General features: G+C 43.3%; 1 protein-coding gene across 14 annotated transcripts in view, besides 2 other annotated features; it reads right to left on the reverse strand.

The window, feature by feature from the left end:
- The window catches only part of ARHGAP32 (Rho GTPase activating protein 32), a 314,573-nt gene continuing 307,458 nt past the window's right edge, over window positions 20,509-27,623 (reverse strand). For all 14 annotated transcript variants that reach the window (XM_047427929.1, XM_047427927.1, NM_001378025.1 and 11 more), the window contains one exon: window positions 20,509-26,608. In XM_047427929.1, the coding sequence (XP_047283885.1) occupies window positions 24,356-26,608 (2,253 nt within the window). In that variant the 3' untranslated portion in view covers window positions 20,509-24,355. The remainder of the gene's footprint in view (window positions 26,609-27,623) is intronic.
- Window positions 25,937-26,438: an enhancer, noted in NCBI's record as "H3K4me1 hESC enhancer chr11:128840383-128840884 (GRCh37/hg19 assembly coordinates)". NCBI's record gives its function as "activates a minimal SCP1, AML or CMV promoter by ChIP-STARR-seq in naive and primed H9 embryonic stem cells {active_cell/tissue: H9 hESC(naive and primed)}" and the evidence as "EXISTENCE:reporter gene assay evidence [ECO:0000049][PMID:30033119]".
- Window positions 26,439-26,938: an enhancer, noted in NCBI's record as "H3K4me1 hESC enhancer chr11:128840885-128841384 (GRCh37/hg19 assembly coordinates)". NCBI's record gives its function as "activates a minimal SCP1, AML or CMV promoter by ChIP-STARR-seq in naive and primed H9 embryonic stem cells {active_cell/tissue: H9 hESC(naive and primed)}" and the evidence as "EXISTENCE:reporter gene assay evidence [ECO:0000049][PMID:30033119]".

Raw genomic sequence — 27,623 nt, forward strand, 5'->3', positions numbered from 1 at the left:
GGCATGAGCTACCGCACCTGGCCCCCAACACTCCTTTTTAAGACCCATTTGAAAATAATGACAAAAACCACAATTACTTTTGCACCAAGTTTAACCACAGTTTACCAGTGTGCGGTTACTGTGGCTTGAACATTGTTATCCATGCATGGTACTTCTCTTAAAATTTGCTCCCATGCAATCAGAACACTTCTATACAGCCTGTCTCCTTAGATAGACTTGACCATCCTTCTCTGCTCTTGCATCTACTGCTTGGGGCGAGGGCAGGGTCTGGCCCCTGGGGATAGGCCAGACAGGCTCACCAATTGGACAAATGGATTCAGGTCAGCTTTGTAGACTTGGCCTATTCCCATCTCTTGACACAGCGGGAAAGTCTTGCTTCCTGCCAATTATCCTCTGCTAAGCCATATTCAGCATTTCAGTTTTTATAAGAGAACCATGAATTCAAGGGTATTGGGCTTAGTCTGAGCTACTAACAATGGGTTACTTTTCTTACTTTTGCCTATTAGAGCTTGGGGACAGAGCTCCTCCAATTAGACCCTCAAAGCAACAATGAGTGAACAGCAGGCCAAGATCCAGGCATTCCCAGGCCTGGCCTAATGTCACCCTAGTCCTTGACCCTGCCTGCTGGACTTTAGGACATGAAGGGGTTAGACATGGATGAGGTTAGAGAGGTGTTTGCATGCCAGAAGACGGTGAGTGTCCGGGCCACATCGAGGCGCTGGAACATCCTGCAGTGCTGTGCGTCTTAGAACATGCCCACAGCCCACCTGCCCCAGAGCAGTCTGAGTGTTAAATGTGTTGGTTCTTGAACCGCATTCCGGGTCTGCTGGATCAGAATCTTTGTGGGTGGGGCCCAGGAACTTCCATTCTAGGAGATTCTTGTGCCTACGTCACTGATCAGGATGTTAACTGAAGAATCTAAGCCAAGGGATGGTGTCATCAGATTGGCCACTTTGGTCATGTTTTGTGGGACGGATTTTAAAAACTGGAGGCCAGACAAGCGATTGCTGTAGTGCTGCAGGTGACAGACCTTGATGAGCTGAGCTCAATCATCAGGCGGGGTACAGCGAGACAAGGAGGCCAGGGCAAGTCTCTGGCTTGAGTGACCAAGTAAATAGAGGATAATTAGGGGATTCAGAAACAGGGGCTGAGTTGAGGGGCCTGTGGGATCTCCAGATGGGAGCAGTCCAGCAGGAAGTAGGATCCATGGACCTGGAGCTTAGGAGAAAGTTCCAAGCAAAAGATCCAAATAGGTGGGAAAGGAAATCTTTAAAGTAGATGCAATTTCTCAGGAAGAATGTGAGAGCAAAGAAAAGGCACTGAGGCCAAAGCTTCAAGAACACCAACATTAAAGGGCTAGGCAGAAGGGAAGTTGCCCAGTGCATGGGGGCTTATATGGGAAAGCATGTTTTCATGTGTCTGCTTCAGATAAATTTATATTTCAATAGGACAGAATGTTTTGATGGATAGTAATCAGTCCCTGGAGCCCCATTCAAGTATTGTCCCAGGGCCGGGCACGGTGGCTCACACCTGTAATCCCAGCACTTTGGGAGGCCAAGGTAGGTGGATCACTTGAGGTCAGGAGTTCAAGATCAGCCTGGCCAACCTGGCGAAACTGTGTGTCTACTAAAAATACAAAAAAAAAAATAGCCAGGCATGGTGGTGCACACCTTTATTCCCAGTTACTCAGAAGGCTGAGTCCGGAGAATCACTTGAACCCAGGAGGTGAAGGTTGCAGTGAGCCGAGATTGTACCACTGCACTCCAGCCTGGGCGACAGAGCAATAATCCATCTAAAAAAAAAGTATTATCCCAGGCTATTTAATAAATTTGCTCAGTAATCACAATGAGATGTAGTCAATAACCAGAGTTAAATGTTCCTGTTAGGGGTAGAGGGAGAGAGGACTGAGTTGGGTGGGAGAACAGCTCTACAATCAGTGAGAGTTGACATGATGTGGACATAGCTGTATCCTCTTCATTGAGCCTCCAGTCCCTGCACACTGAGAAAGTGAAAATGCTTTCAGTAAAATTGCCTCCAGAAAGAAATGTCACCAGCTGACCTTTTCAGATGTGAGTATAAGACACATCAAAAAGATATTCTGGAAGGACAAAGAGGAGGGTGCTTTCTACACCTCCCATTTGAGTAGGGGCAGGGAGGGTATGTGCTTTAAATGTCTCTTGGCTGGGAATAAAATGGATTTTCCTCTTTCCCACTTTATGTGGATGTTGTTGGTAATAATTCACAAAGTATACTTCTGTTTATGCTTCAATTCCCCCTGGTAAATGTTTAACCATAATTGCACCTTAAGAACAGCGGTCCTCAACCTTTTTGGCAGCAGGGACCGGTTTCATGGAAGACAATTTTTCCATGGACTGAGGAGGGGGATGGTTTCAGGATGACTCAAGTGCATTACATTTATTGTGTACTTTATTTCTATTATTGTTACATTCTAATATATCATGAAATAATTACACAACTCACTAATGTAGAATCAGTGGGAGCCCTGAGCTTGTTTTTCTGCAACTAGACAGTTCCATCTGGGGGTGATGGGAGACAGTGACAGATCATCAGGCATTAGATTCTCATAAAAAGCATGCAGCCTAGATCCCTCGCATGTGGAGTTCACGATAGAATTCATGCGCGCTCTTATGAGAATCGAATGCCGCCCCTGATCTGACAGGAGGTGGTGCTCAGGCAGTAAGGTGAGCGACGGGGAGTGGCTGTAAATACAGATGAAGCTTCACTGGCTCACCCACCACTCACTTCCTGCAGCCCAGTTCCTAACAGCCCACAGACCCATACCGGTCTGTGGCCCAGGGGTTGGGGATGCCTGCCTAAGAAGAATAAGAATTTATATGGAGTGCTCCGCCATGTGCCAGACCTTATTCTCAATGCATAATGTACACGAACCCAGCTGTTCTGCAAAACATGTCACGGGATAGGTGTTTTTATCCTTACTTTACAGAACAGCAAACAGAGGGCTAGTGAGGTCAAATGACTTAACCAAGCTCACCACACTAGTAAGTAGCCAGCCCTGGATTCACACCCAGCCAGTCTGGCTCCTGGGCCTACTCTCTTGCCTGTTATTTTATACCACATTTATAGGTCCTAGTGGTTATTAATAAATACAACTCTTTGGATTGTACATGTACATTAAAATTTCTCAGAGGAAGCCAAAGGTAGTCAACAACTCCAATAATGCACTGACTGTAGCATTTATGATAAATAAGCAATCAGTGAAGCAGAATAATTCATAAGTGTTCTTTCTTGCTATTAGAAGACTTGGATGCTATAAAATATGTACATTTCACTACACCATCTTATGCATATTTATCACCTTAGATGGTTTCACGTGTCTGCTTTTAGCTAGATTATACATTCTCTGAGGTTAAGAAGTGCACACTCCCAATATTTGGAGCCCTGGCACAGAAAGCCAGAGAAAGCCCAGTGATGCATTTTCATGGCTGAGTCACGTTATGCAGGGGAGCTCAGGAGAGCAGCTTTCAGTTCACAAAAATATTTTTAGCTATTTTCCAAGTTGGGAAATCTAAATCTAAAATATGTTTTGGGGCATTTATTTCTCTTTTAGAAGATATTTAACTACATTTTTATAACTTGAAGAGAAATGTATCCACATAGACACAATTCCAGTTGAAAGAACCCTATAGAATCCATAGTATTAAGAGCCTTTTAAAAATGTATAAAGAAAACAACAAGTTTTTTTTCCTGAGCCGATCTCTGAACCAAAGGGCTGTAACTGAAGTTTGACCATGACCCAAAGTTTCTTCAGAATCTCTTCGCAGCACACTGAATACCCCCACCCCCATCAAGGGTATTCTCAGCTGCAACGCCTGCCTCCTGGACAACGACCTGGTATTAAGTGTTAAAGAATAAATGCTAGTGGTCAGAGCCCTTTTGCTGAAAGTCCCAAGAGAACTTCTGCTCCTGATCGTGCAGAATTCAGCAATTTAGAACAACCTTCCATCTGAGAAGAAATTAAAGAGGTAGATAAGGTCTTCTAAAAATTGCTCTTGAAGGCATTATTAGCTCATTAGTGTGGTAACAAGATAATGATGAATTAGTAGGGAAAGATCTAGGAGTGAGACCAGAGGCCCAGGGAGAAGAGCCAGCAGCCAGGACCACTTTTCCACCCGAGGCCTGTGTGGATTCTAGAGGAGCTGGATGAAAGGCGGGTGGTTGCCTGCGGGGCTGAGTGCACCTGCCTTGGAGTGCAGAGGCCCCTGGTGTAGGGTGAGCCTGTGTGTGGCTGGTGGCCTGATGAACCCTCTTCCTTTTGGGTTGAGATCATGGAAAAGCTGCACCCTAGGAGCAAACTGAACAGAAGAAGACTCCTTTCAAGGCAACTGCAGTTCAGCCTTAAGCTATCTCAATCTCTGAAATTGGAGGAGGGTAACTCCAAGAGTTATCCTGTACCTCTGAAATTGGAAGAGGGTATTTCCAAGGATAGCTTGGAGTCATCCTATGCGTAACTCCCAGTGTTATGCATCCTGAGATGCATGGCAGAAGCAAGCTGAAATCCTCTCTGGAGGAAGGTGATATTACCCTAGCCCTCAAATTGCTTTAATAAACAATGTTTCAAAAATAATGTTCAGCACACAATGAGGAATAACAGGCACACAATAAGAAAAGGAAATGAGCTAAGAGAAAACAGGCAATACAAACAGGCTTACAAGGACTCAAAAAATAGGAGCTATTGGACATGGACTTTAAAACATCTATGTGGCTGGGTGCGGTGGCTCACGCCTGTAATCTCAGCACTTTGGGAGGCCAAGGCAGGCGGATCATCTGAGTTCAGGAGTTCCAGACCAGCCTGGCCAACATGGAGAAACCCCATCTCTACTAAAAATGCAAAAAAAGTAGCTGGCCGTGGTGGCAGGCACCTGTAATCCCAGCTACTCGGGAAGCTGAGACAGGAGAATCGCTTGAACCTGAGAGGCAGAGGTTACAGAGAGCCGAGACCATGCCATTGCACTCCAGTGTGGGCAACAAGAACAAAACTCTGTCTCAAAAAAACAAAAATAAAAATAAACATCCACGTATACATGTTTAAGATGACAAAAGACAGTATTGAGAATTTTGGCAGAGAACTGGAACTATATATGTAAAAAAAGAATATTTCAGAACTGAAAAACTGATTATACTTTTAAAACTCAATGGATGTGGCCGGGTGCAGTGGCTCACGCCTGTAATCCCAGCACTTTGGGAAGCTGAGGTGGGTGGATCACGAGGTCAAGAGATCGAGACCATCCTGGCCAACACGGTGAAACCCCGTCTCTACTAAAGATACAAAAGTTAGCTGGGCGTGGTGGCACACGCCCAGCTACTCAGGAGGCTGAGGCAGGAGAATCGCTTGAACCCAGGAGGCGGAGGTTACAGTGAGCAGAGATTGTGCCATTGCACTCCCGCCTGGCAACAAAGCAAGACTCCGTCTAAAATGAATCAATAAATCAATAAATCTAAAAATAGTTATAGAACTTATAGAGTGATGAAAAACACCCAGAATGAAGCATGGAGAGACAAAATACAGGAGACAGAATGTTAAATTAAATTAAATTTGGGCTGAGGCTGACTCCTTTCTTAAGTCCCTACATAAAAAAATTGCAACCTAACTTAGTATGTAAACAAACTTGCAACTAACTTAGGAGTATTTCATAACAAACAGCTGGGTGTCAGCCAATAACAGCAGCCAACCTTCAGCCAGTCACAGGCAGCCAAGTGATCAGGCCGCGTTCAAATAAAGCAAGTGCCAAGCCATCAGCAATCAAACTGTTACTGTAACTCACTTGGGATTTTCTGTCTATAAAGATTCCCTGCTGACATTGCAGAGTGAGCTCCCTGAACCTCCTCACGTTCTGAGGGCTGCCCAATTCACAACTAAGCAAATCATTCTTTGCTCAGTTAAACTCTGTGAAATATATCAAAAGTTCTTCCTTTTAACAAGAGTAAGAGATAGAGAGGATATAGTAAGAGAATCCAACATACCTATACTTGGAATTCCAGGAAAGGAGAATGAAAATGAAGCAGAGACAAAATCTAAAGAGAATGGCTGAGAACTTTACAAAAATGCTGAAAAATATTAAGCCACGTATTTAAGAAGTTCTACAACTCTAAGCCAAAAACATTTAAAATATATATATATTTAAATTCATACATATATGTATCACCTCCATATCTATACACATTATAGTAAAAATGCTAAATAACAAAAAACAGAGACAAAGAGAAAATCTTAAATGCAGCTTGAGGGAGTAAAAAAACAAACAAAAAACAATTACCTTCCAAAGAGTAACAATTAGACTTAAATCTGACTTCTCAACAGAAACAACAGAAGTTAGAAGACAATAGAAAGAAAATAAGAGCCAGCCTGTACCTGATGAAAATGACCTTCAAGAATGAATTCAAAATAGAAACACTTTTGGCCAGGCACAGTGGTTCGCACCTGTAATCCCAGCACTTTGGGAAGCCGAGGGAGGCAGATCACCTGAGGTCAGGAATTCAAGACCAGCCTCACCAACATGGTGAAACCCCATCTCTACTAAACATACAAAGGTTGGCCGGACATGGTGGTGCACATCTGTAGTACTAGCTAGGTTGAGGCAGGAGAATCGCTTGAACCCAGGTGGAGGAAGTTGCAGTGAGCCGAGATTGTGCCACTGCACTCCAGCCTGGGCCACAGAGTGAGACCCTGTCTCCAAGAAATAAAATAAAATAAAATAAAATAAAAATAAAATAGAAACATTTTCAAATAAACAGAAACTAAAAGAATTCATTAATAGCAGACCCATACTAAAGGACATTCTAAAAGATGTTATCCATGCAGAAGGAAATGATCCGAAGTGGAAGTTCAAAGATAGACCAGCTATAAAGGAAAAATTGGATAAATCTAAATATTTTAAAGTTAAGACTTTATTCCTTGAAAGACATCACTAAGAGAGTGAAAAGATCAGCCACAGACTGGGAGAAGATACTTACACAACACATGAAATGAACAAAAGATGCCTATCTTTCCTTACATATTCTTAGGCAAAGCACTCCTTGAAATTAAGAGACAAGACAAGCACTGAAAAAATGAGTAACAGGCAACTCACTGAACTTATAGACTGATGAAAAATACCCAGAAGAAAACATGGAAAGATAAAACAATGTAAAATACAGAAGAGAGTATGTTAAATTAAATTAGCGAAGGAAATGGAAAGGGCAATGCAAAGGGTTTTCTGGGTGCGAGAATGTTTCTGTTGATCTGGATGATGGCCACATGCGTACTCACTTTGGAATAAGCCTTACTTGGCACTTTCTCAACATATTATATTCTACAATACAAAAGTTTTTATAAAAAAGAGTGAAACTGGAAAAAAAAGGATAAATACTGGGTTGTGGGAGGGGTTAGAAAGATGAGCTGTTGGAAAAACACACAAAGAACTTCAATTGTTTTAGCTAATGTGCTTGTTTTAAATTGAGTCATAACTTCGTAGTATTCAGTTACTTATGCTTTATAGTTTAACAACTATGCAAATTGCTTCTAGTTATTTGGTTTTTTAATTTAAAAATTAATTTTAAAAAGACAAAATGTTAGAAATACATATAGTCATTTATATCCACCCATAAGTGATTCAAGATGAAAAAGCCGGCAAACTCTGTTCCCTAATCCAAACCCTTAAGAAGCACAGGGAAATCGGATGATGTTCTGCTGAGGCCTCAATCAGGTGGATCAATCTCCACCCAAACTCATAGAAACAGACCAAGAGACAGAATGCATGTGGATTCTAAAGGTTTCTTGTTATTTTTCTGCAGAGCCTGAGGCCTGAGGTAAACCCTGAAAAAATTACTGGAGAAAGAAGTACGTTCAGGATTAGAATCTGAACCCCCAAATTCTTCTCCAAGGGAATGCCCTTTGGGCTGTTGAGAAGGCAGTGGAACTCTGCAGACAGACACAGCAGACACGGTGGACCTAGCCATGAAATCTGCTGAAGTCCAGGGAGTTCTTGCTCTTCTCCCTAGCTGAGGTCTCAAGCACCTTTTCCTGGCTGCTTTGACCCTCCCTCCCTCCTTAGCTGTAATACTTGTGGGTCCCTAACCTGCAAATGTATTAGTTTTTCATAGCTGCTGTAACAAACCTAGTGGTTTTAAAAACACATGTTTATTGTTTTGCGATTCTAAACTTCGTAAGTATAACATGAGTCTCACTGGGCTAAAATCAGGTTGTCTGCTGGCTGTGTTCCTTTCTGTACTGTCTAGGGGAGAATTTATTTTCTTGCCTTTCCCACTTTCTAGAGGCAGCCCACATTCCTGGGCTCATGGCAGTCTTTCCACATCTTCAAAGCCAGCAACAGCAAGTGGAGTCCTTCAACACTTTGACCTGGATCCCAGTTCACATCTCCTTCTCTGTCTTTTTCTGCCTCCCTCTTCCACTTTTAGGAACCCTTGTGATTACATTGGGCCCATGAATAATCTTCCTATTTTAAAATGAACTGATTTGCAGCCTTGATTCCTCTCTCTGCCACATAACCTATTCATAGGTTCTGAGCATTAGAACATAGACATCTTTGGGGGCCATTATTCTCCCTACCACGGCGCTTCACTAGCTAACCAGGCTTGCCTGCTCAACACACCTTCCAGTCAGCTGTGTGTGTGTGTGCGTGTGTGTGTGTGCTTGTGTGTGCATGAGCATGTGTGCGTGCTTGTGTGTGAGGTGTGTGTGCATCTGTGCATGCATGTGCGTGTGTGGTGCATGCATGGGTGCGACAGTGTGTGTGGGTGCGCGTGCAGGTGTACGTGTGCATCTGTGCATGCATGTGCGTGTGTGGTGCATGCGTGGGTGCGAGTGTATGTGTGTGCATGTGCGTGTGTGCATGCGTGTGCATGTGTGTGCATGTGTGTGCGTGTGTGTGTGTGCGCGTGTGCATGCACATGGGCATATAATTCAAATTTGAATTGGTAGCCACTGATTGTCAGACATGAGGAAAGTTTCTGACATACGGAAGAGGAACAAAAACAGATGCAAAGGAAATTAAGGGGAAAAAATGCAGGGTACAAAATAATAGTAATAATTCCCTCTCATATCTCAGAGAGGAAGGTGCTGCCTGGATCCATCAAACAAAACAAGAATATAGAAAAGAGCATCCCAAGATCAAGAACGAATTCTTGGAAATTAAAAATATAGAAGATGTAAACAAATTCCACATCAGGGTTGTTTCATAAATGAGTAAATATCCCAGAAAGTAAAACAAAATGTCAGACATGGACAAAAGGAAAGAAAGGATAAGAGAAATTGAGGATCAATATAGGTTCAGTGGCCCACGAGGTTCCAGCATCCAATTAAGCTGATGTTCAGAAGGCTGAGAAGAAAATACCAAGGAAAGAATTCTGTAAATCCCCAAACTGGAGACCGATTGAAGGGGCCACTGCCCAGCACTATTAGTGCAAAAAGACCCACGCAAAGAAACATCATCATTAAAACACAGAAACACCAGGAAAAAAGAGATTTAAGAGTTTCCAAAGGGAAAATAGTTCACATGTGAGGATCAAGAAACAGAATGGCATCAGACTTCTCCACAGCTAGATTTGCTGCAGAAGACAAAAAGGAGTATCATCAAAATTATGCGGGAAAATGATTTTCAGACTAGGATTCTGTATTAAGCCAAACCATCAAAGAATATAAGACCAGCGGGGTAAAAAGGTATGTTCAGACATGAAAGGTTACAAAAATTACTTCCCTTGCACCTTTTCCCACTATAAAGAGAGAATGGCATAAGACAGAGGAAAATGGGATCCAGGAAACCAGGGATTCCTCTCCAGAGAGGAAAAGGGAACCCCACAGTTATACCAGCTGTGACTCAGGCCCAGAGAAGAGCTACTCTAGATTTGGCAGGAGGGTGAAGCATCAGCAAGCACTCCAGGAGAGAGCTCTCTTACCTGCCTCTAAGAAAAAGAACACGAAGAAACAGATCCCCGATATTGGGCGGAAATGTACACTTCCACAGCAGAGGCTGAGGATGGAGGAACTGGCACACAACAAATACTATTGATTAAAGGGTTCTGGACTAACTAGCATAGGAAAATGGGGATGGGGAAGCCTGTGTGTGTTGGCGGGCTGCGGAGGGCAGTGGCCTGCATTAGTGAAGAGTGTTATCCTCTTCCTCCTTATTAGGAAGTCGGTACAGATCGTCTAACACGGAAAAATCTAGAACTAGCATATTGTCTAGACATAGGGTGGTAAATACCAGAAGAAACATCCAAAAGAGTTTGAAAAGTTTGTCTCTGAGCAATAGAAAGTGAGAAATGGGAACTGCTGTTTTATCATAAGCCTTGTGATTCGATTTGACTTTTAAAACTAATTACTTGCATTATTTTCATTACAGAAAAGCTGTGCTACAGATGGCAGCTGTGATGGTGTGAAAATCTTCAATTCTATGGCACTTTGGACTAATTCTCACATCCCACTGGCCATGGCCTTACCTTCCACTGTGCGGTATTTCACTCTTCTCAGAGCATTTTCTCGTAGGTTACTTGATGCGTCCCTCAACAGCCCTGTGGGAGTCATGACACAGTTTCTATCCCCATTTTACAGATAGAGCGGTAGAGGCTTTGAAAAGAAGTAACTTACCAAGGTCACATGGTCAGCTTCCTCAATTCCATGTGGAATCCAGCAGGTATAAATAGAAGAGTCACATAGTTCTTAATAAAGAAGCTATGACTAAAACCAAAAATTTCTGACACTTAGTCCAGGTTATTTTTAACTAAATGATGTATCCTGAAATGTTTTGTTTTTTGTTTGTTTTGTTTTTTAGATGGAGTTTCGCTCTTGTCACACAGGCTGGAGTGCAATGGCACTATCTTGGCTCACTGCAACCTCCTCCTCCCAGGTTCAAGCAATTCTCCTGCCTCTGCCTCCTGAGTAGCTGGGATTACAGGCACCCTCCATCATGCATGGCTAATTTTTATATTTTTAGTAGAGACAGGGTTTCCCATGTTGGTCAGGCTGGTCTCGAACTCCAGACCTCAGGTGATCCACCCACCTCGGCCTCTCAATGTGTGGGGATTATAGGTGTGAGCCACTGTGCCTGCCCCCTGAAATTGTTCTGAAGAGTTGCTCTGTGAATAAAGTGTTCCTTGATCCCTGCTGTATACTTCCTCTGAGAAAGTACTATGGGATCCCTGCTGTATACTTCCTCTGAGAAAGTACTATGGTGTCGTGTGGATATCTAAGAAATGATGCAGTTCAAAGCAAACCAGTTTAATCCCTTATTTTGTAAACCTATGAGATCATGCCACCTTCTCGGGGAGGGGTGGGGTTGGAGAGATTCCCATTAACACTGAAGTTCCATGAAGTGAAACTTGGATGATTCTGACTGGGGCCACGTTCAAGCCCAGAACCAGTGAGCAGAAGTGGCAGGTCCTAGAAGGGAGACTGGAGGGATCAATCTTCCCCAGGAACAGTGGCTCCTAATGTGCAGATGAAATGGAATCACCTGGGAAATTCTGTTGGCAATACAGGTTCCAGGGCCCACGAAGAGACGACGGTTTGGTGGCGCAAGCCTGGGAGTCTGTATTTTTGAAAAGCTCTGTGTGGGACGCGGAAGCCTCCAGGTTTGGAAACTCTGCTGGGGCTCTGAAGCCCTGCCTGGACTTAGCATCTGAAACTAAAAAGCCAGGGTCTAGATGCTTCCTACCATTTTCTAAAAATGGCAATAAACAACACTTGAGAATTTAAAAGCATGAAATCATCCTTAGAAATCATGGACTCCCATAATGAAAGCAAACCACCGCTTGAGTTCTTCTGATTTTTATCCAACCTGTTCATCTTACCCTTCTTTTTTTCAGGGCAACTTCCAAAAAAAAAAAAAAAAAAAAAAAAAAAAAAAAAGCAGCGTATCAGCTATCCTGATCAGCGTCCAGCATTTGCTGCCTGGTCACTGCCCTTAAAACTACCTTTGTAAAAGTGGGATCAAGAGATGAGGAAGAATCACACCGAGTCACCTATTCCATCCCATATCTATCTTACCAGGAAGCTCAGTGAATCTTTCCAATCAACAGGAACACTGGTGAGTAAAAAGCGTGTCACTAGCACCATCTGGTGGCTTCTTAAAAATACCAATTTCTATGCAGTAGGCATGTTGAGTCTCCACACATGAAGGGACTCCTTGTGGTTACAAAGGACATTCCTTTCCTTTCCAAAGGCTGAGTTTAGGCAAAATAATAAAGTTTGTTAAAGTGACTGTTTCCAGCAACCCCTTCCTTTCTTAGCTTTATGTATGTGTGTATGTATTTAATAAGCAAACATAGGTGAGTGCATGCCATGTGTCAAGCTCTCATGGAGCTTATGAGCTAGCGAAGGGATAGAGACAATTAATAGATAAACCAATAAGTAAAAATACTTCTGAATGAGAAGTTCTGTTTGGAAAATGAAGAGGGTGATGTGATCAAGTGACTACACCAAACTGGGTCATCAAGGCAGGCCTCTGACGCAAGACAGGGAGGAGGAGCAGCCTTGCCTGGCTAGGAAAAGCACTCAAGGCAGAGGGCACAGCTTGCACAGGAACCTGGAAGAGGAGATGAAATCAGAGAGGCAGATCTCACAGGCCAAACTGAACCATTTGGATTTAATTTAAGGCTCCCGGAAGTCTTCGGAGGGGCAGGTGCCAAGAGGAGCGAGAGGGGAGAACGGTGCCCCAGAGGGGAGGAGTTGCGTGCACTGGGCAGCTGGGCAGGCAGCTCCCCTCCAGGCGGCACAGGACATCTCCTTACGGCTCCACAAACATCACACAACCTCAGGGTTGGGAGGGACTTCCAGGTTTGCTCCAATTACCCATTCCGTGTCTCCATCCCCCAACACCACCTTTGCTTGATGGTCACCCATCTCTGATCGCTTCCACCGCTTAAGGTCCATCAGAACAAGCCTAAGTCCTTTTCTTCTGTGAGCCCTGCATATACTTGGGCTGGCTCTCATGCTTTTCCTTTCCCTCCCAAGCCTCCTCTCTTTCACTGCCACATGAGTTATAGGTTAGCTGCATGTGCTGCTGAGGAGCTCGAGAGGTGCCAAAGGAGCTCGTCAGGTGCCTCACTGGACAATATGGATGGCTTTGGACTAGCAGTCAGTCACATTCTCTAAGGTGGGGAACCAAAGGTGCCACTCGTTGCAAGAGGCAATCATACCAGAAAGCCAAGGAGATGACCCAAGAGTGGGAGAGGACATTGTTCTGGAACCTACATCTGTGATTAGTGTAGCAAAGTATTTTTTGAGTCCAATGTTGGATACTTTTTCCTAGCCTCAAGGAAGCTACTCCTGCATGTTTTAGCTTTTTAGGAGAAGGGTCGTAAAAATAAGAGAGCCAGTATAGCCTTTAGGAACCTAATAATTACAAAACACTGGCAGGAACAGAACCATCTCCCACCATAATCAAAGTAAAATACTTGCAAAGTGGTACCGAGAGGAACACCCAGGAAGGGGGGCGTCTCTATTGCAGGACCAGGCAACTGTGAAATTCCGTCATGGCCACTCCTTTCAGAGGGTTATTGTGGCTCCTGGGATTCAAGGGCATATGGGGTATTGGGAGTCCAGTAACTTTATAGGGTGTAGGTAACATCACTGTTGTCTTCTCTAAAACTCACGTAACTTAGAGAAGCAGATCATTCAGGAACTCAAGTTTTCCTAGATTTTACTATCTCTTAGTACATAGATTCTACATGCTTGTTGAAAACGATCCAAACCTTCATTGTTCCTTCTCTTCCGAAGTTGCTACGGCCTGGAAGAGAGTTCCCATTACACCTTCTCAGTTCCACACCCTAAGATGCTTTGTAGGGTAGATGTGAGTACGGGAAGAAAGTCTTTCCCAGACACCTAGAACATCACCCTTCCTCTCCTGCAAGTAACCCCCTTCCCTACTTTCCAAGCACTGCTCAAAACTGCTCTCCTTTTATGACTACTTCTACCAGTGTTTAGTCATCTGGCAGTTGAATTTTAGATCATGTAAGCCTACTTGTCTTTGCTTCTGTGACCAGCAACCAACACCAGTAGTCCCGGTGCTTGTAACATATGAAAGTAAACCAAACAAATGATGGGATTCATCCTTGCTACTGAAGTAAGATGTCCTGTTATATTTCAACACCCAGTACAAAGGGGTTCCCAGCCCCTGCCTTTTACAAGAACTATCATATAAATAGCTTAAGTTTTTTCGTGTCTTATTCTGGGCAACGGTATAGCAATGTTTTTAACAGCAGTAATGAACTATGCTTACTATAGTGCCAGTTGTTGTGAGTTTTTGCATCTGTTAACTCATTTATTTCTCACGACCCATCAGTTTGTAGATGAAACCAAGGCATACAAAGGTTAAACGCTCTGCCCAGTGGCACACAGTGAGTAATCCATGTGGAGCTGAAAGTCACACCTGCACATGGATACTAGGGACCCATCAGCTCACTCCTTCAGGAAAGGTTGGTGCACATATTATGCTATAGTGTTATTTCAGGCACTAGGATTTAAATGAGCAAGACAAAGCTCTTGTCCTCTTGGAGTTCACATTCCAGAGAAACTATAGATAAAAAATAAATAACATAAAGCAAGTAATGGGGTAAGAGTAGTGACATGCTACATGAGATAGGATGGTCAAGGAAAGTCTTCTCTAAGGGGGTGGTGTTTGAGCAAAGACTTGAAGTGCGGGAGCGAACCACATAGATACCTGGGGCCTATGCACCCCAGGGGGAGGAGTGTCAGTCAGCACGAAGGCTGAGGTGGAAGTGGACTTGGCATGTTTACGGGAGGACAAGGAGGCTGATGAGGCGGCAGTACAAGGCAGAGGGAGGGTGGCTGTACTTGACTTCCAGCAGCATTCATGGAGCCCCCCGCCCCTTTGCATATCTTCCATATCTCTGCAGCTGGAACAAGACACACCCTCTCTTTATTTCCAGAAGCTTCTTCTTCTCCAATATATGGTTAGAAGCTTGTGGATGCAGGACCAACCTTCTGCTACCATTATGAGGTCTCAAGAGTGACACCTCATCTGGCAACCTATGCTGCCCCTCAATTTCTTTTGCCCTATAAACTGCCAGTCCTTGAGCTTGTCTTGGGGGCTATAATTGTCGCTCTCTGCTTCAGGAAGCTAGAGCACTCTTCTTCCGCATGCTGCTGCCCTTGTCAGTGACAGATGTCATGGGAGAACCTGAGTCGAGAGTGGAGTGGGAGGTAGATGTCCATGCTGTGCACTGCTCCCAGCTCTGCTCTCCTTCCAGACAGGGGGTCTACTGCCTTTAACTCGCACCTTGCTTGTACTGGCATGGCCTTCAGACTCATTCTATCTGATGAGTTGTGAGCAGGAACGACATGTGTGACTTCTGGACCACATTTTAACTATCCCTGCAAGCTCCTCCAGTGTTCTCCTCCCTTGCCTCACCATCCTAGGAGTTCAGTCTTAGGTGATGGGGGTAAGGGATGCCAATGGCTGCTCAGAGGACTGTTACCCAGGACAGTTGCCTGGACCTGCAGCAGGCTTGCCTTGAGCAGGAAAAACACCTCTTTTCATGTCTAAGGCATTGAGATTTTGGTTGTGTTACTACAGCATAACCCTAGCCTAACCTGACTAATGTGAGGAGTTGTGTTCCCTGCAAATCAACAACAACACAGTGCCCTAGCCTCGCAGGCACAACTACGTTAGGGATTCATGATCTTTGAGGATACACAGTGGGCATACAGTCTAACAGTGGTAAGAACTGCAGGCTCTGGGGTCACAGAGCTTGGGCCTGCACCCCACTTAACCTCAGAGATATAAACTCAGGCACATTACTTAAAACTTTCTAGGCTTTGATTTACCTGTAAAGTGGCAATAAAAGAAAAAATGTTACCTCACGTAATTGTTAGGAAGAATGAGTTAATATTAACATATGCAAAATACTTAGGATAGCCTGGTACATGATAATTGATCAATAAATTTTTAATGATATTAGCTACTATCAGTGCAATTACTATGCTCTTTTCTCTGGAAATGCATTTTGCTTTAACTGATCTTGAACCAGGAAAATATATATGTGTTTAAGAATAATGAGGCCAGAGCCAGTGGCTCATACCTGTAATTCCAGCACTTTGGGAGGCCGAGGCAGGCAGATCACTTGAAGTCAGGAGTTCAAGAACAGCCTGGCCAACATGGCAAAACCCCATCTCTACTAAAAATACAGACGTTAGCCGGGTGTGGTGGTGCACATCTGTAGTCCCAGCTACTTAGGATGCTGAGGCAGGAGAATCACTTGAACCTGGAAGGCAGAGGTTGCAATGAGACAAGATAGTGCCACTGCACTCCACGCTGGGTGACAGAGCAAGACTTTGTCTCAAAAAAACAAAACAAAACTTCATTATTTACCAAGTTTTACTATCCAGAAATGGAGAGCCAGTCAAATCCCTCTCTTTAGCAACTGTTTTGTAGAATACCAGGCCTGCTTTCCCTCATTACTTCTTTTGCAGAAATTCACCATGTTGCTTCTACTCCTGCCATCTCGTGTATTGAATGAGCCTGTGAGTAACTAGGGCAATACAGGAAAGCGATACCTGCAGAAGGCACCATCCACTAGAAGAGAAGGTGAAGCTCACAGAGGTTCCTGGACCACTTCCCTGAACTGGAAAGTTGACAGATGCAATAGATAACCTAGCACTAGACATTGTTCTGAAATGTAGACACAGTTCAGTCGTCATAATAGGTGCTATCTGGATAATGGTTTCCACTGAATAATTACACAAGACTTTTTGGTTGTTATTCGGACTTCATGGTAAGCAAGGACCTTCTCCACTACTACGTCACGCTATAGGATTCCCTGTGAAGTCCCATTTTAACTGCCAGGGCTCTCTTCCTGCGAGATCCAACCATGGGAGAACTTTCCGGTTATTTTTTCAGAAGGGTTGACCCTTAATAAATTCTTAATGATACAATAGAAAGTGGTTAAATACTTAATGATACAAGCACAATATAGCCCTCTTCCCTTCTATTGCTGCATGGTCTTGTGCTATTTCCAAGTAAAAGTTCTGGGTAACTTTTATTTGGCACTTGCTCTCCTGCTGAGCCCTGTACAAACACCTACTATCTAATTGAATCCTCACGGCAACCCTTCATAGGTACTATTATTCCCACTTTAGAGATCAGGAAGTCATGGCTTCATCAGAGTTTTAGAAATAATTTTAGAGGGTTTAGTGGGTCAGTAGAGGTTTTAGAGTTAGTAGCAGTCCAGATTCAACCAGCCAACTCTCAAGTCTGCTTTGAGTCAGTGTGTGCAGGTTTGACTTTCAGCTCCACATGGATTACTCACTGTATGCCACTGGGCAGAGCGTTGAACCTTTGGTTGAGCCTTGGTTTCATCTACAAACTGATGGGTTATGAGAAATAAATGAGTTAACAGACACAAAAGGCTCACAACAACTGGCACTATAGTAAGCATAGTTTGTTACTGCTGTTAAAAACATTGCTATACCATTGCCCAGAATTGATAAAATATGAAAAAACTTAAGTTAATTATGTGACGATAGTTCTTGTAAAAGTTTTGATGAGAAAAGAAGGAACATCACTTGGTCCTAGCTATTTGTTTTCCATGAGTGCAGTATTTGATTTTTTTGTTTGTTGTTGTTGTTTTTGAGACAGTTTCCCTCTGTTGCCCAGGCTGAAGTGCAGTGGCATGAACTCAGCTCACTGCAGCCTCTGCCTCCCGGGTTCAAGCAACTCTCCTGCCTCAGCCTCCCAAGTAGCTGGGAGTACAGGTGTGCCACCACACCCAGCTAGTTTTTGTATTTTTAGCAGAGACAGGGTTTCACCATGTTGGCCAGGGTGGTCTCGAACTCCTGACCTCAGGTGATCCGCCCACCTTGGCCTCCCAAAGTGCTGGGATTACAGGCATGAGCCATCACACCCAGCCAGAGTGCAGTATTTGAAAAAGTTAGCTGTCAAAAAGCAAATGTGAATTAGCTACACTTCCCTAACAAGACCAAATGTCTCAGGTCGTCTTAATATTATATAAGCATATAATAGGAGGCATTAGAGTATTCAGCCAGCAGTATTTTATCTCCTTTTTAAAGAATGCTGCATTTTCTATAGTTTGTTCAGTTCAATTAGCTCTAATTTTTGCATGCCATTGTTATTGAGTCTGGGGCTTAATATTTATACCAAGGGGAGAGAGAAATTAAGGATACATTTCTGTTACCCTATCACCGAAGTGAAGGGGAACCAAAGTGTGAATGGGAAAAGGTGGTAACTTCAATGAACAAGAGACGGCTCCCTCTGCAAGCATATTAAATGTGCTGCCTAGATCTGTATTTCTCAGCCATCTGCACCAGGATTACATGGAGTGGACACCAAAACTAGATTCTAAGTCCAATCCCAGTCGCACTGGATCAGACCATCTGGTGGTTGCTCAAGAATCTTAACTAGCTTAGCTCTCCAGGTGTTCTAAATGGATTCTGAAGTTTGAGAAATACTTGCCGAGTTTAAAACATAACTAGTGGCTGAGAAATCTAGGATGCTTTTCAAAAATTTTTTAGAGAATTAAGAACACGAATTGCAAATGACTCAGTGACAGCTGAAGCTGTCTACATGATATTCTGGTTTCTTAATTGTGGATGCTCAAACTGTCTTCTAGCCTAGCATTCTCCTATGGGGAGAAACACTCTGCAGTTATTAACAGGAGAAATGCCACTGCGTCTAATCACATCGCTTTCTCACAGACTGTCAAATGAAGGGTGAAGTCTTACAGCTTTGGTTTCATTCTCCCTTCTGAGCATCTTATACACTAACATCTCCTTCCTGAGACTCAGCTATCCAAGCCCTTTGCTAGGAGAAAACAAGAGCCTCAGAGTAACAAAAAATAGACAATACAAAGTCCACACGATTCAGGATAACCTTTCAGGACTCCAGTTCAGAACTACTTTTGCTCCCCAGATTAGAATTACAAAGAGAAAAAGGAAGAGGAGGGTTTATAGGTAGTTCTTAGACAGTAACACAAAGTGACAGCAGCAAAGACATACGAAACTGAAAAAAAGGGGTATAAAAATATAAAAAGAACTGGTGTTAAACCACTTGGTATAAACGCAGATCTTTTATCTCAGTGTGCCCCCGAGGATATCCCTAAGTTATGCATGGTGCAGTAATCTATTGATACAAGTGATGAAACTACACTGGCCACAAAATTTGTGGTTGGAAATACATTCTGGAAGTATTTTGATTCAAGGGTCTAAAATAAAATTACACCTTATACTTTTTCAGAGGTACACTGTCAACTGTATGAAAAACATGACCAACTAAAATGTCTTATTTCTGGTGTTTCCAGATGCCCAAGGTTTTACTGGATGGGGAGTCAGTGTTACTTTAAAATGTGCCTCTTCCTGTACAACCACAAATGACTAAAATCTCAACCACCAAGAATGTATGTGTTACTGATTCCTCAGTGATACACATTTTAAGAGGTAGGTACCATATTTTTGTCAGTATAACATAAGTTTGGTGATGAAATAGTTGGCATGGAAAGCAGAGTCCTGAAAACTGAGAAGACCCAGTGGAGCTGCGGCTGTATCTTTTCTTTCATCCCATCTGAGCAGTTTCCATGGGAACACTTATTCAGGTCTGAGGACGCTTACCAAAGCAGATGCTGTATCTTTGCTGAGGTCTGGAGTGTGGTATGCAGGCACAGAAAAGACGGTTGGCTTACTAGGGCCATCTGGAATAAACAGGCAACTTTTCCTATTGCTGGCAAGAAAAAAAAATAGGGCCCTAACACCTCAAAATGAAGAATGATTTGCAACTTGACTCTCAATAGGAAAACCAATATTCAACAGCTGAATATTGAGGGTCCTCCCCGCCTCACCTTTAAGTCCTGGTTGATACTGAAGTATTTATTTTGAGAACTGTGGCAGCAGAAGAAACTCTGGAGCCCTGCTGGGCAGCTGGGCCACTTGCAGTACTTGCTTCACACCTAGAGTCACCGTCTCACTAACACTTGATCTGGGCTTGCTGCGAGCCAGCTCACCACAGGTGGCCTCATCTGCGGCATGATTCTTTTATGGTCATTTCACCCTTAAGAGAGAGAAAACAGGATGTCCAAGATGTTTCCTGGGAATCTGTAAAGATATGGTTTTATTCAGAATCCCCTTTGAAGGATCCTGAGATAAGCTGATTCAGTTTCCTGAGAAGTGCACACTCGGGAACCAGGCTCCAAGAGCGGAGTGTGGACTCCTTCAGGAGCAGGAAGCAGCAAGTCAGCCCAGACTCTCCAGGATGGATCAAGAGGTCTCCACCGCTCTACAGGGAACAGTGTTTGACTTGGGGGAAATTTGGCCAGGCAGCAAAAGGTGGTAAATAGATAACGACAGGAGACACTTAACCCCTTTCCTCAAATAGCGTACCCCTGGGCATAACAGGATGTGTCATGAAAACATGTGTCCTTTGGTCCTAATTCCCCAAATCAATCACCCCCACTATCTCATTATAATTCATATTAGGTCAAAAAGGAAACACATACACAAAGCAGTCTGTTTTAACCTGAAATAATTCTGTTGATATTTGAATCACTTTCAGTGGGACATTTGCTTTAAACCACAAGATATCTCCATCTCCAGGTACAAAAATCCCTTCCTCCCTCCCCTGCCACCCCCCACCCCACCCTGCAACCAAAGAAACAAACAAAACCCAAACCCACAACTCAGCTTCAAATAAGTTTGCAAGAAATGAGACTCTAAATATTTACATATGGGGCAAGAAATAAATCACAAAACTATTTACAAAAATACACAAGCTTATATGCATTAACAATTTACACCAGTTCACAAAAATATTAAGACATAAAAAAACACTATATAAATTAAAATTAAAAACTCAAAAGTATGATCTAAGACTTCCTAGGATGCTTCTCTCATGCAGGTCATGGTTGAAAAATCAGGTTTTGCTATCTCAGAATCTAAACTGTAAAACCATTTTTATTCTTTGAACATTAACAGTACTAATCAGATAAGGAAAAAAGACCCTCTGTGCACACTGACATTATCTTGCACACGTTATAATACACCATTCCTGACATTTCTGTAACACACAGTGCTGAAAATCACATGCCTCTAACCATGTGGAAGAAGTAACTGTCTGACATACTTTTGCTTTCATTATTACTTTCTTACACATTCTGCTCAAGCAGTACTTTGCCAACATCCTAAATGGGTGACTGACAGGGCTGAAAACAGAGAAATGGACTTTGCAGGCTCCTTCTTTAACTAAAGGGGCAAATTTCAAATTTACATCGTTTGCATCTATTACTGCTCCAAATGTGGTAACCTACTCCTCCGTCCCCACTCACGTTAGTTAACAGTCCCTCCTCTCTACAGAATTAGTCCTAGAATTTTTCAACCTGACCCTAAATTTTAAAAAATGCTTTGCCATTGTAAGAAATGTGCAGGCCCTAGTCGTGGGACCATCCCAGGGACTTGCAGGTTTGAAACGAAATTGAATATAGTAAGAAATAAGGCTCCAATGAAATTTATTAATAAGAAAATGGCACCTCTGGGATTGTTAGCAAAATTTTTAGCCAGACGTCCAGGGAATATTTATTTCAATCAGACCAAACTGTGGAATCAGAATTTTGCCAAAAAGATAAAATCTGGAGGCATGGCTATGAAAATGTCAATAGGATTAAATCACGGGTTTAATGTATAAGGCAGCTCCATTTCCTTGATCATAATGCTCCATGTCAAAATTTGAAAGTAATAACATTCAGTTACCCCATTTGTGAAGTCCCCCATTTGTGAAGTCACACACAAGGTGGACTGTGCTGAGGTATCCGGCTCACAGTGATTTGCCATCCGGTTTCCACCCCACAACATTAGAAAGGGAAAGATGCCGGAAAAGTGTTTCAAATAACTGAATCCAAAGTTAAGGCTGTTGCTAGCATGCATTAAATGAAGCAACTCTAGATTTGATCTGAAGTTTGTGTTTCACGCTTGTAACAGTAATTGCAATCATCATTCTGTATTCAAATATTTACCTGATATTTCTAAACCCACAGGACATTTATTAATAAAGAAATTGTTTCGAGGAATTAACCCTACTATTTATAAAATAGGTTTTAGTTTCAGGACTAAACAATGTGTGTGACAACAAATCCACAAATATTAAAACTGGACCGGACTCCCTGGGTTACTTTCTTTAGGCTCTCAGTTACTTAAAGCCGTGTGTATCTCCTGGTCACAGCAGCCCCTCTTCCTAATCTCCATGCTGCTGGTGAGAACTTACAGGGCTGGTGTGGTCTCCAAGGGGCAATGGGTTGCCTACTTGACAAGAATATGATTAAGGTAAAAAAAATTAGTGCCACATATTCACCAAAGGTCATACTCCTGTATGTAGCACCCAGGGTGTTTTTGTGCCAAAGGGAAGTATCCTATCAGGTTTCCTAGCACTTTGACTGTAAAACAGTTGGTTCTGCACTTTTAATGTAGAGGCCTCAATTTCCACAGACCTTTTCACATATGGGTGTTTCAAGGTTTCTACTACAGTTTTTACTGCATCCCTCCAATGAATTCTAAGGGAACAAAAGAAAACCTTATAGAATATTTCCACATATCAATGTGTTGTTCTTGAAACATTTTATTTTTTTCTAAATATAAACCCTTAAAATGCACATTATTTTTTAAAATAAAAACTGGCATGAATCCTAATCTTTATACAATTTCACAGCAATAATAGCAGCATGATTTTAGCCTCTTAAAAGATTTCCTCCTTTGCTCTAAATAAAAATTAATTTCAAGTTCTAAAAAGCCAGAGCAGCAACCATCCAGTAATTGGAATGCAATTCTCCTAGTGTCTTCTACAGACCGAGCATTTAAAATACGTGAATGTATAAAACTTGAGTATTATTAAGAGTTATGGAATGAAATGACAATCTAAACTCGTTTTGTAAACATAGGACTGCCTTGCTAGTCTGATGTATTTTGGGGGGTGGAGGGAGCTGAGAACATAGAATGGAGTTGGGCTAGAGAGTTCCTACTCTAATAAGGAATGCAACTTTCAAAACTCGTGGGTGTTAAACATGTTTTACATGTCTCCAGAGTTATAAAGAGCTATACCTGAAATGCTGGTGTAGATGGTAATTACAAGAAGACTGTGACCACACAAGTATAGAGTAAGCAAACGACAGTAATGCCTTAGGACAGCAATAACTGCCCAGAACTCCACTGGTGAAACGGGGCTGTGAACTAAGCAGTTATTGCAGGAACTTGCAGTCTAATAATAGATAATGCGTAGCTACTTAAATTCCCAGGGACCTCGTACTCTGGTTTAGGAACAGAAACAAACATGGAAATTTATATTCATAATAAATTATGCGTGTCTATCCAGTCAAACCATGCTGGGCTTTTTTTTTTTTTTTTTTTTTTAATGAAAGAAAGTTGATAATTTAGGAAAACCAATGGTATGACATGTTTTACTAGAATTACAATTCACCAAATCTTATTGAGGGGTGGGGTAAGAAGAAAACCTGAAGGCAGGCAATGCATTAAAAGCATCAATAGAGATTTCTGGTGCTAATAAAGTTCACTGACAATAAGAACTTTACTTTCTTCCACCTAAAGAAGTTTCCTTAAGTACTAACTTTTAAAAGTCCATTCTGTCATGATATGAGCCTGTTCACTGAACCGTGAGGAACAAGGATGAAAAATAAGAATAGAAAGAGTATGGTTCAGCCTGAGTCTAAGTGGTCTGGTGTTTTATGATGACTCTACCAAATGTTTAATTTAAAGTCTTAATTTCTTATTTTTAATTATAATGTTGCCAACTGTCTGACTGACCTTGAAGGATCAGGGATTTTTCCACGACTCTAACTGAACACAAGATCCTTCTCAGACGGGGAGAATGAAGTGACAACAGTGTGTCGATCTGCGCAAGTTGTGCAGCTACTGAAGGAGAAGCAGGAACACAACAGGGAATGCAGACGCCTACCAGGAAATCGATGTGAACTGCTCTCAATTATGCAGCAAATACTAAGAAGAAAGGACAATGCTGAATTCAAATTCAGTTAAAGGCAGTCCTCAGGCTCTTTCAAGCTAGCCCTAGATGGCAAGTGTGTCCTGAGACAGGTTTCTCTACTGGGTTTCAGCACGGGGCTTTACCATCCTTCAGATCTTTTCTAAAGACAAAAATGACAAAGTCTATAGATGGAAGAGGGGGTAATGAAGCAGGGAAGGGGAAAAAGATGCTGATTTGTTTACTTTTATTATCATTTTTTAAATGTGGTCAGGGGTTTTATAGTATTTTTTGTTTAATCTTTTTGGTTATTGAAAAAAATAGAACAGTCCACTGTCCAGCAGAGGCTGCTTCAACTCTATTGCTCGCAGGGCTCATTCTGCATGGATCTGTGTTTCAGGATGCTGCAAGGACAACTCTGCGGGCAGGAAGGCCCCTTGACCCAACGCTGTAGCATAGGTCCTGCTCTGTGGATGGGGAAAGCCAGGGGGCACATACGTCCCCATGCCGCCCCCTCCAAAGACTCCTCGCTGGTGCTGAGGCAGGGAGTGGTAATCTTCCAGGTTATCATACTGGGACACAACAGTCACACTGCTCTGGCGCTTGCCGTGTGGTTGGTACTGGTACAGCACACTGGGGTCCCTCTCCACGTTCTGGGTATGATGGAGTTTGAGGCTATGACTCCTCTCTGGTTTAGGGGGTGGGACGATTGACTGAGTGAGGTGTTCTTCCTCCTTGTAGCAGTCTCTGGAGTGTTTCTCTGGGGCAGAAGGCTGCCTAACCCAGGGTCGCTCCATCTCTTTGGAGAGCCTTACCTCTTTGTGGTTCAGTCTTAAAGATTCTTGCCCGGATGCAGCATATTTTACTCCAGAGTTGTGGTAGCTGACTGGCTCAGAAGTGTCTGGAATCCCTTTGGACCCATAATCTAACTGGCCAGCTCCCTGGGGATAAGGGGGCCCATTCTTTGACTCACAGAACTGCCTATGGCTTGCTTCTTGGTGTGCCCTGTGCTCAGGAAGACTGCAGCCCATGTCAGGAAGCTTCCTGCTCCTCAGGCTGCTCTGCTTCTGAGGCAGGGATGGCTTCTCCGGCTGCGTGCTACCATGGCCTCCGTGATGGTGGGCTCTGTCCATCTCTGCCTCGGGATGCCTCCTATAGAAGCGGTCCTCTCCCTCGGGACTGATGGCCTTGGCTGCATGGCGGCTCTCCTTTCCTTCTGCCACTGAGAGAAGTCCAGTTTTCCCAGGATCTGATTTACTACGCAGATGGATGACATAGATCCCACCCAAGTCGTCCTGCACCGCCGGGGTCATGTTATCATATTGGGACATGACAGGCCCTTTCACCTTCTGCCGAGCACGGCTCTCTCTCCGGATGGACTGCATGCGGTATTTTTCCATGTCCTCAAGATCCCATGAGGTGTAGGTGTGCTTCACATCAGCAGCCGGAGGCATGCTGACTACATTATGGTCGTTGGGAGAGAAATAGCCAGTCACGTTGGCCCGGGGACGTGGAGCCAAACCAGCATAACTGTACAAGCTCTTTCCTTGCAGCCTAGGATTGTAGAAAGCAAAGTCTCGATTGGGAAGGCGGTGAAGGGGTCTCAACTGGACTGTGCCATAGGCATCCACATCACACAGGGCCCCATCTGGACTGTAATAGGAACTAGAAGAACTGGAATATGGGCTATACCTGTAGTGGACCCGGCCATTCTCAAAGTAAGGCTGAAGCTGAGTGACATGATAATCTGAGCGGGCCTGGGAGGACTGATATGGCTTATATTGGTACAGAGGTCTTGGGCAGTAGGCTGGCTCATCATCTGGGGGAACTTCTGTCCGTGAAATGGGAACAGAGCGAATCATGGAAGACGGCGGAGCATGGAGAGACTGCACTCTCCGGATGGTAGGGTACGGTGGAATGTCTTCGGGGTAACAGGTATTCCTGACAGAGGAGCTCAAAGAAGACACATACTCGACCCGGCTGCATGGCTTGGAGTGGTGTCCAGATGCGTTTCTTCCTGGGGCCACATATGTGTTATAACGAAGACCCATGGAGGCTGGTGGCTCTGACCTGGCACCATACACTTGGTGCTGCTCCAATTTATTGTGATGGGGAGGTACACTCTGGGGACGGTACTGGCAGTTTGGAGTCATATTGAAATGCAAACAGTTATCTGGACCAAAGGGTTCAGTGGTGACATCGGGCCTAGCAAAGGAGGAGTAAACTGTTTTCTGAGAAGCATGCTTAGGTTGTGGGACAGGAAGTGGTAAAGGCAATGCATCGTCCACAGAGGTGGATGAAGCAGTGACAAAGGAATGATAATTTGAACTGCTGGTGGCATCTGCACTGCTGGAGTGTATGGCAGCAATCATCTTACTCTCCATCATCCTGGTGGGGGGCAGTGGTGCAGGAAAGCCACAGGGATGCGCAGGGACAGACTCGGCGCGCAGGTGCAGCAGCGGGACCCGGGCACCGTCCCGCACTTTCTCAGGCAGGCCTGGCTGGACAGCTGTAGCCATGGGACACTGAGCAGCAGCAGCACCACTGTCACTGATGAAGGCAGACGCAGGGTCATCCATGGCTCGAGGTTCAGGTGGCCTCTCTGGAACTGGAACTACTCCTTGAACCTATTGAAAGATGATAATACTATGGGTCTATTTTTTGTTCCCTCTATGAATCAAGTACTATTAAATTTGTAACTCACAAATTAAGGCTGGTTGGGTAGCAGCTTGAACTTTCCCAAGCCATGTGGTTGCAATGAATCTGTACCCATTTCTAGGAAAAGAAGGCTTGTGCTGCTATTTTGTACAACACCCAGTATTATCTTTGGAGAACCATTCAAAGTTTTCTAATTTATGAGAGGTTTTAAATGCGAGATGAGGTTGCCTATGGCATAATTTTAATATACAAACCAAAAGAGAGGTTTAGTCAAGTAATGCTGTAGAGCTTAAAAATACATACCCGGTCTATTAGTCTAGCTCAGTCTCAACACAAAGGACATCTTGTTAAATTAAGAGTTAATTCTATCATCTGGGGAGACTTTTGAAATTCACAGTTGTACACAGTTAGCAGTTTTAGGGCTTCAAACATAGGGAAAGGCAATATTCAAATCAGAAGCTACTGCCTCTCTCCTACCTTTGATTCCACCTTAGTCTGGCCAAAGATAATCCTCATACTGAAAACATGCTATCCTTGAGAAGCAGTAAACACAGCATCCTCCACTAAGGTCTAAAATCTTAAGTCCTATTAATAGTTCAAGGTGACCATATAGAAGAAAAACAACCTGTGGCACTTTCTTAAAATATGAGGAAATTCAGGAAGAAACCTTAGCATTCTGCATACTACATTCTCTCATTGAAACAGGCACCTGACTATGGGACAAACTGCTGGTGAATGCTAGGAAAGTAACAAAAAATCCCAAGGCACTATAATCTCTTATACTTCCAAAAAGTCTGCAAGGCAGACAGTCTTACGAATGTTTTGAGAATGAAGTATTTTCATTGTGTAACTGTGAATAATTGGCAGAGGGTAGGTAAATGACTTGCCCAAAGTCACAATGAGTCAGTGATGGAGTTGGAAAAAAATAAGAAAAAGCAACCCACAACCGTAAAGCCCACTTTGTCTCATTTGATCCTGATCTCT

Source organism: Homo sapiens, chromosome 11 (assembly GCF_000001405.40).
Source record: "Homo sapiens chromosome 11, GRCh38.p14 Primary Assembly".
Classification (NCBI taxonomy): domain Eukaryota; kingdom Metazoa; phylum Chordata; class Mammalia; order Primates; family Hominidae; genus Homo; species Homo sapiens.